Consider the following 17,102-nt stretch of genomic DNA (forward strand, 5'->3'; position numbering starts at 1 on the left):
ACTCAGCAGAAGAAAAGAAATAACAAAGATCAGAGCAGAATTAAACGAAATGGAAACAAAAAAAATACGAAAGATAAGTCTCTTTGAAAAGATAAAATTGACAGACCATTAATGAGATTAACCAAGAAAAGAAGAGAGAAGATCCAAATAAGCTCAATTAGAAATAAAACAGGAGATATTACAACCATAGTCATGGGTTACAGTAAAAGCAGATGCAGATATGACCCAAATGGACAATTATTTGTTAGGTAATTGATGAAGATTATTTCATCACCAGCAGCATTTCTTTCACAGGGATACATTTAAGGAACAGGTAAATAATTAATTATGAATAATTAATCCTAGTACTCAATGAAAGGTGCAGAGAGTTTAAATTTATTTACTTGTTATAAAAACATACCAACAATCTTGAGTATTTACTCCTTTCCAGGCACTTGCTAAGACACTGGCGCTTCGAAATAAAGCATAGCTTATCTCTTCATAGAACTCACAGTCTATTAAGAAAGACAGACCTGTAACTATAAATTGACTGAATAAATGATATCATAGAAGTATAAAAAGAATTTTATGAGAAGCACAGAAGATGAAGTAGTCATTAATTCAACTTGGAAGAGTCACGGAACGCCTTAAAGATAAGTCAGTTTTGAAGAATGAGTGGGATTTCACAGATGGAGATGAAAAAAAGGGTACAGAAGTGAAAGGATACACAAGGATATGAAAGAATGACAGTATGTGATAGTTTCCGGATCCTACCAAGAGTCCAGTGGTTTTAGACAGCATAAGGCTGAGGAAATATGCTGAGAGAAAGAAAGGAGTGAAGACTGGACAAGGCTATTGGAGCCAGAATGAAAAGACCTTCAATGACAGTATGTGATAGTTTCCGGATCCTACCAAGAGTCCAGTGGTTTTAGACAGCGTAAGGCTGAGGAAATATGCTGAGAGAAAGAAAGGAGTGAAGACTGGACAAGGCTATTGGAGCCAGAATGAAAAGACCTTCAATACCACAGTAAAGCTCATGGAAGGCTTTTAAGTAGGAAAATAATAAAATCAGATTTGCATTTTAGACATGTATTTCTAGAACTTATAAAACTGCATTATAATTTTTTACAAATTGGCCTCTTCCACCAGACTACAGGCACTTGAAGGGTAAGAAAACATAGCAATTGATCAAAGAAAAAGGAAGTAGAAATTAAAAAGAGAAATAAGACTTGAGAGATGAGATTAAGAAAATTATTTTTTTTCCTTGCAGTTGCGATTGTTATCACTAAAATTATTCACCAATACTGTTCTTACATTTGTATGTAATGTGGTTTATTAATATGGCAAGGCTGGTTCAATTTATTTCTACATAAGGACATAAGTAAAAGTTTAATTTTATAATTCTAAAGTAGACACTGTTTTAAAAGAACGCATAATTTCATGAAGACTTAGACATTAAATCATAAAAAGAAGTGTATCAGAGGAGAGAGCAACACACCAAAAGACAAAGGGCTAAAGGAGCAAATTAGCTGAGTCTGTCCCTTTTAAAATGCTCTCTTCGGAGTCCCAGCCATAGAATTCCACTTGCATTTCATCGATCATTGCTAGGTTACATGACCACGGCTAGCTACAAGGGCTCTAGGAAGGTGAGTCTATTTAGCTGGGCTCTTTGCTGTCCTGACCAAAATTCTGTTCAAGAAAGAAGAGAAAAATGGAGGAGCGTTTGTCACAGGAAGTAACTTATAATCTTGTCCAACTTTTATGTTAGATTGTGATCCAACTACTAAGAGACACATGCTACTGAACACTCTTCTCTCTGGTAAGCAGTTCACTTATGTTATTAATGTAGGCTTAGATACATGTCTGCTACTTGAAAGGATGTTCCCAGCATCATATAATTGAAAAATAAATTTTAAACACAGATAGCAATTATGGAAGTTTACCTAAATTCATTACACACAGAAAGGCTTTTGGGAGTCACTACAAATTGTTTGCATTTTACCTATTACATATATCAATACCAGTGAATGTATGCAGACTTGTTACAACTCCAACTAGCAGAAGTACTAACACCTGCACATATTCAATATTCTAGATGCTTACCAGGAATAGTAGGATAAGCCAGTTGCTATTTTCTTTCCTGACCAAATATTTTCCAAATATTAAGCTATTTTTGTTATTGCAAAGAGGTAACAAAATTCACAGAACTAAGCATTTAACAATTGGCTACCATATTTATGACAGATGGCTACATGCACAATTACTAACAGTCTTCCTACTGTTTGAATATAAAAAACAAAAAAACTACATAAATTACATGCTCAGTTGCCTTAGTTCTCATTTAACTTCAGGGAACAAGAATTAATTTGATCTATTTTAAATATTTGCCAACAGGATGAATTCAATGACGTATGGAAGGATAATACTGAATTCACTGTCTTCTACTTCTTGCCACTAAACAACATATCAGCTTGCTTTTCTACTGAAATTGCATAAAACAGATAGGACAGCTAATTTAAACAGTTGTTTGCACATTCAATATTTATAACCCAAATCTTGCATGACTGACTGCAAGCAGTGAGTTAGAAGGTTTAGCTCAGCTGCTGCCTAGAGTGATGGATGGCCTTGAAGAATTTCTTGTTCACTGACCAGATCAATCACATAACAAAATGGGAAAAAAAGATCGACCTTAAACTAGATTTCCAACATTTCCATCTGTATGCAAAACTGTTGCAGGAAGAAATGTATCATAAAACATAATGTGAAGCTACTTAAAAATAATAAAAATCCACCAGAGATGATGTAGAATGCAAATAAAAAAGATAAGGTGACTGGATAATGTTCTACTTTTTAACTAAATATTAACTGAAACTTTATGATATCTATAATCCAAATAGTGTTGTCAATTCATAGGGATATCAAGCTCAGACTCACAAGTAAAAAGAGGGTAACAGTTGAAAAGCCTGAATTTTTCTGACAGTACTTGCAGTTAAATTTTATTTAAGCAAACTAAAAGGTAGTGTTGTGGTAATTATAATATGCTGCTGCCTTTAATTATCTCAATGGCTGTCAAAAAATGAGTCTGTTAAGGAGTTAACAGACATCTGATGTTTGAAGTGAGAGTAATTTATTTACTAACGGCTAACCCTCAATTATCTGCATTAATTGTGGAAGTCAGTAGTACTACATATGGTGGTAGTACTACATAATGGTGGAAGGCAGTAGTACTACATATGGACCATGGCTATATGTAGTACTACTCCTTAGCAGTATGCTTGACTGGTTTGTGAGGCTCCGTGGTGAGCATCTCCTCCCAGCTCCACATTCAGTGATGTCAGATTGGTAGCTTGAAAGCAGCCATGGTGGGAATATTTACACCACAGAAACTAGCAAGTACTAAGTAAGCATCAGGACCCTCAATACTCCATTACCACCCCAGAGACAAGTGTTAAACATTTACCAGTACAGAACATTTTGCGAGCTCATTTCTGAGGTTAGGATGTGGATGGAGTAGTGACAATGAAGGGACTAAGGGCTGAAGAGCCTAAGGTTGAGTTCTTGCTGAACAGGTGCGGGAGGAGGCAGGCTTGGACCCTGAATAATCCTGCAGGTGCCTTGGGTGTCTAAAGATGTCTGTAGTTAGCAGCCAGGATGATAGAACTAGCATTTACCATTTCCTGTGGCCCTCAGGCACCCACTTTCTCTTCTTGAGTAAGTTTACTCCCACAGGAGTAGAAGTGAGAGAAGGAAGAGAAGCAGCTGGAGAGTGATAAGAAATGAGAAGGAAAGGAAGAAGGAAAAGAAAAATTAGGAAGAAGAAGAATAAAAGAAGTAAAAGGCAAAGGGCAAGAATAAAGATAGATGGAAGGGAAGAGAGGACAAAGAAGAAAAACAAGAGAAAGAGGGAAAAGGATGAGGGAGAAAAGGAAGAGAAAGAAGAAACAAAATGGCAGAAAAGGGGAGAAAGAAAAAGGAAGAGGAAAAGAAGGAAAGAGGAAGGAGGAGGGTTGGAGGGTGGAGGAGGAAGAAGGGCTATAGATCCCTAGAAACAGCATATCTAATCCTCTAGTTTATTCACATTTACATCACTTTAGGAATTAGTTGCATTCCTGAATGTCTTTCATAAAAGTACATAATACAGTCTTAGAACGAGGCCTCACAGACATCCAGACTTCTTTCCATAAGATGGCAAATTTCTAAAAAATGCCAGACACATGGTGGTCTGTTCCCAAGGCTAAACAAAAGAGATGGAGGCTGTAGAGCTGGGGACAACAACCTTTCTGCTGTTAAGTCTGTTTTACTCTTTAGAAGCCTGAGGTTGGGATTCTCTTTTGAAGCAATGGGCGAGGAACATATGGCCACATTTCCATATCTAAGCAGTACCAATGGATGCCCAGGCTGGGACAAAATGCTGGGAAGAAGCCAGATCCTGGGTTCTGGCTACCTTGTGGGTTTTTGGGAATTCCCTACCTGAGTGGTTCTTAAACTTCAAGTGTATCAGAATCACCTGAATGACCTGCTAAAAATATGGATTGCTGAGAGATAGCTAAGATATGGAATCAACTTAAGTGTCCATCAATGAATGAATGAATAAAGAAAATGTGGTATATATACACAATGGAATACTATCCAGCCATAAAAGGGATGAAATCCTGTCATTGGCAGCAACATGGATGAGGCTGGAGGATATTATGTTAAGTGAACTAAGTCAGACATTATGTTAAGTGAACTAAGTGACAACAGAAAGATGTTGTCACTCATATGTGAGGACCAACAAAAAATCTGAGCTCATGGAAACAGAGAGTAGAATTTTGGGTATGAGAGGATGGGAAGGGTATGGGGAGCAGTTGGTTAACAGATACAAAACTACAGCTAGATAGGAGAAATGAGTTTTGGTGTTTTGTGGCACTGTAGGGTGAAGACAATTAATTGTAATTTATTGTATATTTTAAAAAAGCTAGAAGAGAGGATTGTGAATGTTTATTATACAAAGAAATAATAAATGAGGTGATGAGTGTTAATTACTGTAATCATTACACATTGTATATACACATTGAAATACATGTATATGGAATCTGTATCCCATAGGTATGTACAATTGTTACTTGTTAACTAAAAAGGTTTAAAAACAGTTTTTTAACCCACAGATTGCTGGGTCATCTCCAGAGTTTCTCTCAGTAGGTCTGGGGTGGGGCCTGAGAATCTGGAGTTCTAACAAGTTCCAAGGTTGCCAATGTTGCTCATGCAGGAACTACACTTTAAGAACTACTGCCTTAATAAAACAACAACAGAAAACATCCTGGAAGTGCTTATAATCCAATTCTTAAGATCTTATTAGTTAGCATCTTAGCAAGAATGCAAATGAGAGAAACACAGGCTAATGATGAAGAGAGGGGTCCTGAAAGGGAAGAAGAAAGGCATCACAAACCAATGTTTCCTATTTACAATTATGCCCTCAGCTGCTGTGGCATCCACAAATGTCTCTCTAGTAGCCAACTCTGGAGTCTCTTCCTGACTTACCCTCTGAAATCTTCTCTTTACCCACAGGGCTAGGTCTTCTAAAACCATGTTTACACTAATGAGCACAACTGAACTGAATAGGGGTAAATGCCTGATCCAAACTAACACAATCATATTCTCCCTCTAGGAATTTTGAAATTGCCTGGTGGACTAGAAATGAAGCAAAACACAGAAAAACCTGAGATGAAAGATGGAGAGTGCTTAAGGGGAACTAGTACTGGCTTCCATGCCCAGCTGCATCACTGCCCCTTGAGCTTCCCGTGACATCCCAAAAAACTTGCGATTGAAGCTCCCGCTGTGCTTTAATTCACTCCAGTTGATGTGGTGAACAGAAATGAGTCCAAATGACACTAGTCCCACCCCACAACTTTCGCAACTTTACTGCTAAAAATTAACTCAAGTGCCTTTTGGCAAATGGAATATACACTGCTGATTCTGATATTGTAATCTTTAGTGACCTATGACATGGTTCCATCACCGAGCTGAGGAGAAACAAACAAAACAAAAAACCCTACATCCATTTTTTGGTTGTTGTTGGATACCAGAAAAGTCTCATACATCCTCCTTACAATTTTTTAAATTCCAGGTTAAACAGCTATTACTGTTTACTTGTGAGAGTATCAGTTAGGACTCTTTTATGTCAAAAGTTAATAGAAAATCCAACTTGAGCTAGTTCACCTAAATGGAATGCTCACATTATTGGAAACCACAGAGGTAGGGCAGGCTTCAGGAATGATTGATTCGGCAGCTCAAAGCTGTCATCAATGACCCAATTTCTTTGTTTCTCCCTTTCTGCCATCTGGTGTCAGCTCTGTCCTCATGGTCACAGGACGGGTGCCAGCTACAAACAGAGTGCAGCCCAGTCTAGCATCCCAAACAAGAGTCATAAAAGTCACTCAATTGGCCCAGCATAGGTCAGATTCCCATTCCTAAAAGAATAATGTGGCTAAATAAATGAAATGCACTAATTGACCTATCAATCAAAGCCCACTCCAGGGGCTAGAGTGTGATCCATTTTACTAGACACACATAGGCTGCACTGGCCAGGGGAGATACCCAAACAAAGATCAGATAATTTTTGGAGGAGAAACATGTGGCAAACTATGCTAGGTAGACAACTAATAAATGTCTACCACACTTGGTTCTTCCATGTGTTACTAGAAAATAACTTTAAAATTCCACTTTATTTTGTAACCATTACAGTAATAATTAGTTCAGGCAAGAATCATCATGCTAAACTGGTGAATGAGAGCTTAATGAGGAAGAAGATATTTATAAAGTCTCAAATTATATCCCCACAAATGACTCAACTAATATTAAAGTAAAAACATAGTAACTTTACTATGAGAAAACCTGGTAGAGACCACCTTAACCAAGTGATTGAAGTTAACATCAGCTGTAAACATCATAAGCCTCCTGATAAACTGCACTGAGAAGGACACAACATCACTTTATAGTACATTTCACCAAAGATGCATAACATGAATCTAATCCTAAGAAAACATCAGACAAACTCAATTAAGGGGCATTCTACAAAATAACTGACCTGTACTTTTCAGCAGTGTCACTGATGTGAAAGACACAGAAAGGCTGAGGAAACATTACAAATTAATGGAGACAAGTGAAAACTAAAGGTAGTGTGTAATTCTGGATCAAAAACATAATTGCTATGAAGGACAGTATGTCTATATCATAGATAGTAGTACTGCATCAATGTTAAATGGTTTTGAAAATTGTACTGTGGTCATGTAGTGAACGTCTTTGTCCTTAGTAAATATACACTGAAGTGTTTAATAAAGGAGTATGAAGTGTGCAACATACTCTCAAATAGCTTGAGGAAAAAAATGTGTATACACACACACACACAATCACACACATACAGAAAAACTGTAAAGGCAAATGTGGCAAAATGTTAATAATTGGTGAATATGCGTGAAAGGTATATGGTAGTTCTTTGTACTATTTTTGTAACTTTTCTTTAAGTTTGAAATTACTTCAAAATAAAAAGTTTTTTAAAAAATTAACTTTAGATTGCATGACCCTATAACTTGTCTCAAACCATAAGTGTTATTTTACACTGCATGCCACTTAAGTTTTGTAAGAGCGAAAAAGCTGAAAACAAATAATCAAGTTTTAACTTATTTATGTATAGAACAAGAATAATCAGAATAAATTCGTTATTCTGGTGGAGGCAGTTGTGTCTTGGCTAAGCCTGGTTGTTTCCTTTTCTCCTGAGCATACAACCAGACTACATTTCCTAGCCCGCAATGCTGTTACAGGTGACGCACGAGTTCTGGCCAGGGGAACATGATCCCAAACATCCTCCCAAGTGATTCTCCAGGCTCTCTCTTCCCTTGTTTGTTGAGGGATGTGGAAGATCCAGCAGAAGACTATGCAGCCCTAGATTAGAAGATGAAAGCAGCCTAGGTCCCCCTAAATGACCCTGCAGGACAGAGCTCCTATCGTTGGCCTGCAATGAATTGTAATATGAACAAGAAATGAAGCTTTACTGTGTTAAGTAAGCCACTGGGATTTGGGGATTATCTGTTAGAGCAGTTAGCCCACCTGACTGATATAACTACCTAATTTATAAAACAGATTAGCAGAATGGTGACACTTTCAAAATGTACTGAGGATGTCATGTATTTGCTTTTGGTGTATACTTTAAGATAGCAGTTTTCAAAATGTGGTTAAGGGATTCTTGATTCTCAAAGGGTAGTTTGGGGATAGCTAAGGGTCTGCAAGATCCCTTCAGGAACTCAGTGAAGTCAAAACCATTTTCATAACAATACTAACATGTTATTTGTTTTTCACTCTCACTGTCTCACAGCATATAGTAGAGTTTTTTAAAAGGTAACATGATGTATTATATCACAACAGATTGAATTAGAGGCAGACAGGAAAATCTACCTGTCTTCTATAATATTTAGCCAGAGATTAAAAAGATTTGCAAAAATATAAAATAATGCCACTCTTCACTAAATTATTTTTGTAAGTATAATTTTGGAAAACATAGATATTTTATGTATATGTTTTTATAGGTATTTATGCTAACATGACATGGATTTATTATTATTTCTAAATAATAAATACGTTTTAAATCACTCAGTGTTAATTTCCAACATGGTAAATATTGAGCTACAACCCACATAAAGAAAAGCTCTTTTGGGCTCTCAATGCTTATTAAGAGTGTGGAGGGATCCTGATCCCAAAGAGTTGAGAATTCTGTTTGTTTTACAATAAAGTATGAGTATATCTTATAGACATAACATTTTAAATAAAATAAACCCGTATTACCAATGCACAAGAGACAAGGATAGGAGGGTCCTCACTTGACTCTTGTTTACTCAAAAGCCACAGGATCTAGAACACAATAGGTGCTCATATATATTTGTTAAGTTAATAAATTGTGTAATAGTGGTAATATCCACTTTTAACAGTGCTGTGATAATTGCATGAAATAATGTGTGTGTGTGTGTGTCTGTGTTTATAGTAGGTTATCACTGTTCACAATTATTGGCTATCTCCCTTTTACGTAGGAGATTGAATACATCTCTGCCCTGTTGATTCTAGGCTTGGCCATGTTAACTGGGCTGGCCAATGAATGCAAGTAGAAGTAACATGTGCCACACATATATGAGGAGAAGCTTTAAACTCAATTGTGTGGTTCTGATGAGACTCTTGCTCTTCTGCTCTCACCTTATGGACAGTATGTCCCAAATAGGGGCTGTTTGTTCTATCCACATTCTGGAACGAGAAGACCCAGACCAGATACATAGTCACCCTATAGATAAAGCAGAGCTTCATCCTACCTGTAGCTCTCAGGTAATGTGAGACAGCTATGTATGAAATTTTGTAAACCATCTTAGCAAACCTGGCAAATACAGCTTTATATTTGTGACCCCAAACATCTTCCCATGTGTTCCTCCAGGCTCTCTCTTCTTTTGCTTGCTGACAAGATATAGAGGATCCAGTAGAGGACTCTAAGGCCCTAGATGGAAGATGGAAACAGTCCAGGTTCCTTGGCCTAATGTATTATAGATGTTCAATAAACCCAACCATTCTAATCAGTGTTATTATTTAGCTAGAGAAACACTAAAGAACTGTAGCTTAGTGCTTAAATGACTGCACAGTGCATCTAAATTAAGACAATTTAGATAGTATCATTAAGACAACCTTAGGATTCCAGGTAAATAAAGTACATGACCTAGGACAAGAGTGGCATCGAAGTATAATAGATCTGACTACAACGAAAAATTTCAGCAACCATTTACCCATGAATGCCAGTAGAGGGGCTCAGGAATATCTGTAGAAGTCACTGGCAGGTGACTGAGAGAAAAATAAGTTCTAAGGTGACTGTCAAGTGTCTATAATTAAAGAGCAGTGGAGTGGGTGTATCAGTCCATCTGCCCACCCTGCCTACACTGCCTTCTTAGGGAATCTCCTCCAGCTTACAACCTCTAAAATTGAAACCAGCTTTAGAGCACTTAGCTTAAAGCCAATGATTGGCCAAGGACCAATCCTGATTATTATTTCAAATCTCTGAACCAGCAGCTACACAGATTGAACCTGGTCACACAATGATGAGATAGAGTGATGTACTGGCAGCCATTATTGTCCATATGCACAATGGTAAGCAATCAGAAAAAGCTGGTATACAGAACGAAACTGAAGAACTGAGCAGCAGACTTACAAACAAAATCAGAGATGAGAGTAGCTGCGGGGAAGAGAGAGACAGAGAGAGAGAGAGACCTGTTGACAACTCTCACCTCCCACGAGGGCTGGACCAACTTTTGCAGTTGGGTTCCTTAAGATCTCTCCATGTTCTTCGAGTACATATCTTTTTACTTGAAATAATATAAATAGATTTCTGACCTTAACAATCAAATGATCATTAAAATAAGTTGCTTTGTTTTTTGCCTTGCTAATCCTGACCCAAGCAAAGAATCTGACTTATTTCTGTTGATTTTTGAAGGGGAGGAATGGGAGAGAAGTAGAAACCTGAGGTATCATAACAGAACTGACCTTCTGCATTTGAGAGTCCAAAGTATTTGCAGAAATAAATTCATTTTTTAAAAGTGTCAGAAATCATGATTATGAAATCATAATTACATGTTCACCTTTTTGCAACTCAAGCACTAAAAGGCAGCAAAGATATAAAGAATAGAGGCTAGAGAGTAAGAAGTCCAGAGCTTTAGTCCTCGTTTTGCCACTAAGAAACTGCATCCTGAGAGATGTCATACCCCTTTTCTGGGCTTCAGGATTTTTCCTAAAAAAAAACAGGGAATTGGATAAGATTTGTAGATGCTCTATAATAGAGAATTGAGCTGCCAAAGCTTTTTAAAAGTTTATGCTAACACATTAGTTTCTAAATACAGTGAATTTGTATATTTATTTCAAATCCTTGCTTGTAGCATATCAATAATCATATATGGTTTTAAATAATGCTAAGAAATAGTTTACTTTCCAAGTTATAGATCAATGGCATTTAACCTTAAAAAAAAGAGAATGGTAATGTCTATGTACATGAAACAGAAAGGTTGTTCCTACTTACTGCTAATAAATGCAACCAACCACCTACTATACTGAGAATTTCACATTACTGTCATTGTTTGAAATAGTTTATTATAATATATTTTAAATAAGAAATGACATAAAACAAAGATCACTAATGTGTTCTAATAAACAAGGGCAGATGACTTGATTTTATTAAAGTTGTCCTTGGGGAGTTCTATTATAGGCTTATATTCAAACTCAGAGTTTTTATCTAAGAGCCAACTGTGGTGTTCCATAGCTTTAGTATGGCCTTGAAAACATTTACTTGAATATATTTCAAGAAATACATGACCATTTCAAGAAAATTCACTCATTACCTAAATTCTCCTGCCTTTACATATTCTTTAATATAGTTACCATACTGCCAGTAGAGGTGTGGTGGAGAGAAATGCACTTCATACATGGCAGAGCAAATTAAAAGGTTAAATTAAGGCCCAGTTATTAGTATTCCAGGAACTAAGAGTTGAGAAAAGGAAAGCAGAACACTTTCTTAGTCCTGTTCACCTGCTTTCTACTCTCTTGTTTTTTTTTTTTGTTTGTTTTCCTGTCTTTTTCTAATCAAAGAACAACACCAACAGTATATCAACACATTTCAGTACAATACAAAATAACAAGCACTACTGAAGACCAACCATGCACAGAGAATTCTTCTAGGTGCTGTACGGATTATACTGATGACAAGATGTAGTCCCTGCCCTCAAAGTAATCATGTACACAATTGTGAGAACACCGAGGAAACAGAGATGTTACTACAACTGGAGGATATGGGAAGTATTTATGAAAGATAATGCATTTGAGTTTGACCTTAAAGAACGATTAGGGTTCAAAAAGTGGAGAGATGGGATTAGGTTGGATGAAAAACTTGAGCCAAAAGCTGAGAGCTTGTAAGGTGCTCAGCAACCAAGGTGGCTATGGCAAGGAGGAGGAGTGGAATGAATTATGGAGAGAGAGGTGCCTGAGATCAGAACCAGAAGCCTAGGGTGCCAGTGACCACCAACTTTGTGGGGCAACTGGATAAAGCAGCTTGGGCTGCAGGAAATCCTAATTTTTTTCCTACGGACTTGGGCTAAGACCAATATCTAAAACTTAAAATTCAAATACTGATCATTTAAAAAGTAAAAACAAATGTTAGAGTACCTCGAAACACAGAATTTAAATGTGGTTGAAAACTGCAACATCAGCTTTATTTGACTTTGTATTATTACCCAATTTTAAAAAGAAGGTTGAACCATATCAGTGGATTTCAACCTTATGAGGGAGCAATGGCATCCTCTATTTACGTAAAACATATAAACATTTTCATCCCAAAATGTACATAAGATTGAAAAAAGGGAGGATGAATTCTTTTGTTTGAAGTAACAGAGGGGATTCAGAAGTGTCTAAAAAGCAATGGATTGGATGATTTTTAATTATCTAACTCCAGCTAGCTCCAAAACTCCTTTTCTATGAATGGAAATTCTAAATGTATTACTACCTTGCCAATTTTAGGCCACCCATATCTTCATTCTGTCTCCCAAAAGAAGTATACCACAGAACAAACTGAAGCCAAATTAAAGGGAGTCTAATAATGCAAAGAATTAGAAAACTACTGAAAGAAGGAAATTAACATTTACTGATCATGTACTACCATGGCAGGTACTATACTGTAACCAATCTAAAGTCCAATGAAATCTACTGATGTCTATTGTAATATCTGGGCAATGTCTTTTACAAATGGGGCTTAGAAATGGAAAGTTCAACAGTAGCCTCATTGGGATCTAATTGCTCTGGCCCCTCAAGATCTCATGGTCTATTTGGAGGTGGAGAGTTGGTTGTTGAGATGTCTAAATAATAAGACCATTATGTAATAAATGCCATTAACAGACATGTGTAAGTGCTATTGTAAGATATGTTTGTAATTTACTACATGTATGCCATTCTATCAGTCATTTCTATGAATCCAAAGAGTCTGAGATATTTTTACATCCAAATCAGAAACTTCACAATTTATGAGAAAAAAAAATACAGAAATGAGGAACCCTAGAGACACCAGCCCTTCCCAAAGGGGGATTCTTCTTGTATTTACAACTACCCAACTTATCAAAGCCAAATGCCAAATGACTTCATAAGATTCCATGATATACTTGAATTGCTAACAATAAATTTAATTAACTACCAGAATACAAATGAAATACAGTGAAAGGGAAGAAGAACCAAACCAGAGGAGACATTTCTCTTGACCAAAGGAAAAAAACAGTGAGCTACATCTCATGGGATCAAAGAAACATATCTACTTGGCACTGCCATATCAAAAAAGGGAGTGCATTTGGAGGATCTGTGATTTGCTGTGAATTGTCTTCAATCATCACTGTTAGTGAAGGCAAACAGGGGCAGTGGAAAATGAGAAAGCCCTGTTTATTATGCCTTAATTCATTGGAAGTCTATCTGTTATATCTGTTTTTCCCAGGTCCTGCTTCTTCACAGTTGAACATTTCTATCTATGGTTCTACTTTGGTCTGGTCACCTGTAACTCCCTTCATACCAGAACTCTGATGCCAGGACTTCTTGCAGTTGTCTTTTAAATAAATAACTAGCATCCATACCAAAACAACAGCAATCACTTTTTTCTTCATGTTTATGCCCATCATTTCTTTCCAGATAGAGAACTTGCATAAGTCAATAGTCAAGGAGGCTCCCAAGGAAAAGCTGCATCTGTCTTTAGGGACAAGTAGCATGAAAGTAGACAGGCTCCATCTGTCTTTAGGGACAAGTAGCATGAAAATTTCACAAGGAAAGCAGACATGCCCAATTTGTCTCGAAATGTTTCACAAGAACAATTTAAAAATTAAACAGCAATGTACTCTTATCTATATTTAAAGAATATAAAACTTATAAATTAAAATATACTGTGCACTTAGAATTTGGCATTATTGAATTTAACCCTCTTAACTACCCAAAAAACACATATAATATCAGCCCCATTGTACAGATGAGGCTTTGACATACAAAGGTGTTCAGAAACTTGTCCCAGGTCACCATGCTAATAAGTGGTAGAGCCAGTAACTCCCTAGTCTATAATCTGTCCCATCACAGGACCCTGACTTGTGCCCTGATAATTGATATGGCAATCATTTAACTGCACAGTGGTTTAACAAATGTATGGCCTTTTATTATTTTGTTTTACATACTAAAAACACTTCCAAATATTTGTATATGTGCATTTTTTCTTTTCTTTTCTTTTAGCTTTGAACATGCATCTAGTTTGTTTAAAGAATATTGTAAAAATAATTTAGAAAAGTAAAATGAACCAAACTAAGAAACAGGAAAAAAAAACTTTTCATAAACATATGTTTAATAGATAAAGGATATGCAGCTGATTTATATACCTACCACATATGTTATCAAAAACTTCCACATAAAACCTATTTTAAGGCATGCAAATTTAATATATTAAGAAAGTCAGTATGCAAAGTATCTTAAAGTGCTCTCTTCACTAATGCGTGTAACAAAATATACTGATTATGCAAGTACATTTAATTTGACATAATTAAAATAATGAGGTTTAAATACTGATTTTTTTAAAAAGAAAAAATAGAAATTGAAATTAGCCACGAGATGCGTTCAAAATATTAATGAAATGTTATTACCACTTTAGTGTACAATACTTCTAGTTTAAAAAAGAGCTGCTACTGGCCATTGTTGTCTAGTTCTCAACACATAGTTTAGAGATGTATTCCCTTGGTGACATAAAAGATTTCACTGGATAACATAATAATTCTTTGCATTTGGTTAACATCTCTTTTACAAATAACTTAAAAAGCTACAAAGCAACCACTATTTTCTTTAAAGGAAGGCAATGAATGACCAAAAAGATAAGAAAGCAAATTTTCCACAGGAAGAGTTGTGCATAGTTACATGGATACAATCTCAAAAGCTGTCACTAATGTCATCGTGACCTAAAGATATCAAATTTAGGTATGCTCTCAACTCCAGTGGCTTTAAAGAGGCTGAGGAAGACCGATGACATATGAAAAGATCAGGTCTGCAGCTGTGAGGCCATATTCACTTTACTTAGTTTAAAGTTTCAAAGGAGCCTACTGTCTCTAACGTCACTGAAGAAGGAAAGGTAGGAGCAAAATTCAATAGGGTAGAAGACTCTGAAACTTCTATTAGATTTATTTTCTGACCGCTGTCTAGCTCACTAGTAACAGTACGGAAAAAATAACATAAGAGTAACTTTCATTAAATTGGCTTGAGGCTAAAGCTTTGTTTGGAAGCATGTCCAATTTTCCATATTATAGAAATGAAAAAGGAAGCTTTGAGGTCTACGTGGACCTAAACTCCGTAAAATTCTTAGAAAAAGACCAATGTCTTCAATTAACTCCAGCCATTAAAATAAAAGAGTTAGCATTACCATTTACTGTGAGGAAACGGAAACACCAAATTAAAGTGTTGAGTCCACAGCCACACAACTAGGAAGCAGAGCAAAAGGAAAAGACAAAAACTCTGGAATGAGCATCATAAATTCTGTATTGAATTCCAGGTTAAAATCATCAAACTCCATTCAGATACAATTTCAAATTCAGAATACTGCTATGCAAGGATCACAAAGGATCAGTTAAAATTTGTAAGGATGAGGTACACTTTCAGGGTTTTTTTTCTTTTTTAAAGAATTTAACTTTTGCTTTCAACCTTTATCAGATTCCAAATGGAAGTAGTACTTCAAACAGCTAAGGGCTCAACACATGAAAGCTTGTACATAGCAATAATATTCTCCATGACCCAAGGGCTAAGAATCCTAACCTCTCCAAACAGCACATGATGCACACCAGAGGGTCTCAGTGTTTTCAACCCATTTATTGAAAAAGCACTTGCTGAGCTGCATGAAAATGAGAAAAATAACATCAGTTCACTAGAGGCACAACAGTACAAAATGTCTATCAAAATTCATTGAGATAATGACAAAATCAGGATAGAAAAAGGAATTAATGCAGCTCAACAATATTCAGAAGATGAATACAATTCCTGTCAAAAATATAATATCCCAAAATCATTTAGTGTGATTGGCAGCATCAAATAAGGGAAAATGAACTTCTATTTCAAGATGCAGTTGCTTCTTTTCTAAGAGCTCATGTTTGTAGTGCTCCTCCTGTGCACCAGATGTCTGCCCCCAGGCTCTGAAACACCTAGCAAACCACACAGGGAAGCCACGGGCCTCCCAATGCCTTGATGATGCAGTTTGGAAGGTACCAAAAATAAAATAAATGTTAAAACCTGTTGTTTTACCTTCAAGTGAAACCATTAGACACAGTTACACTAAAATATTTTGGAAAAGAAAACTGCAACTAATATTATGAAATAAGCAAGTCAAGATGATTTTTGTAAAAAGCAAGTAGGTCTTTTGTGGGTTGACACCTCGACCCTGAAAATGAGAGAATTCTGTTACTTCACTGCTCATCATTCTATGTGTTAGTACAGTAAACACTCCCTTTGCTCCACATGCAAAATGTAATGTGCTTAGATAATTGCTGGTCAGGTCATGAAGTTCTGAAACAACCTTATCCACAGGCATATGATCCTGAATAATACAATTTTTGATCTTAAAGAAAAAAGAGGAATCAATAAAGAAGAGTTAAAGTTGTTTCTTAGTTTTCATTTAAAAAAGTCTAAAATGAATTCATCACATTTGGGATGCAAAATGCTAAAACAAAATAAAGATTTCAGTAAAGTCCTTCCTTTAATTCGCAGGCATTTAGCTCTTATAAAGGTAAAGATAGAAATATCTCAGCATGAAAGAAAGACCTTTCCTTCCTGAAACTCTACAGACAAAACTGTCTTATGAGAAGCCTCTTGAGAAGATATAAAAGGCTTAGCTCTTTCAACTTATATTAAAATTCAAATAAAATATTTACTATATATCTACTACTTATGCATATATGTATAGTCAAATAGAAAAATAACAATATTTACAAGTAAGGCAGCGTGGCAAGGGAGTAGAGAGCACAGGTTCTAGATTCAGGCTACATGTTTGAATCTTAGCTCTAAGAGTTAGTAGCTGGCAAGTTCCT

At 36.2% G+C, this 17,102-nt stretch overlaps 1 protein-coding gene and 1 long non-coding RNA gene across 29 annotated transcripts in view; one reads left to right on the top strand and one right to left on the bottom strand.

Moving 5' to 3' along the window:
* The window catches only part of CFAP20DC-AS1 (CFAP20DC antisense RNA 1), a 194,623-nt gene extending 187,110 nt beyond the window's left edge, over positions 1-7,513 (top strand). The window contains exon 3 of the long non-coding RNA NR_110820.1: positions 5,627-7,513. This is a non-coding gene — a long non-coding RNA (CFAP20DC antisense RNA 1). The remainder of the gene's footprint in view (positions 1-5,626) is intronic.
* CFAP20DC (CFAP20 domain containing) overlaps positions 1-17,102 on the bottom strand; it is a 333,853-nt gene that overhangs the window by 295,408 nt on the left and 21,343 nt on the right. The window lies entirely within an intron of this gene.

The sequence above is a fragment of the Homo sapiens genome, chromosome 3 (genome assembly GCF_000001405.40).
Source record: "Homo sapiens chromosome 3, GRCh38.p14 Primary Assembly".
NCBI lineage: Eukaryota > Metazoa > Chordata > Mammalia > Primates > Hominidae > Homo > Homo sapiens.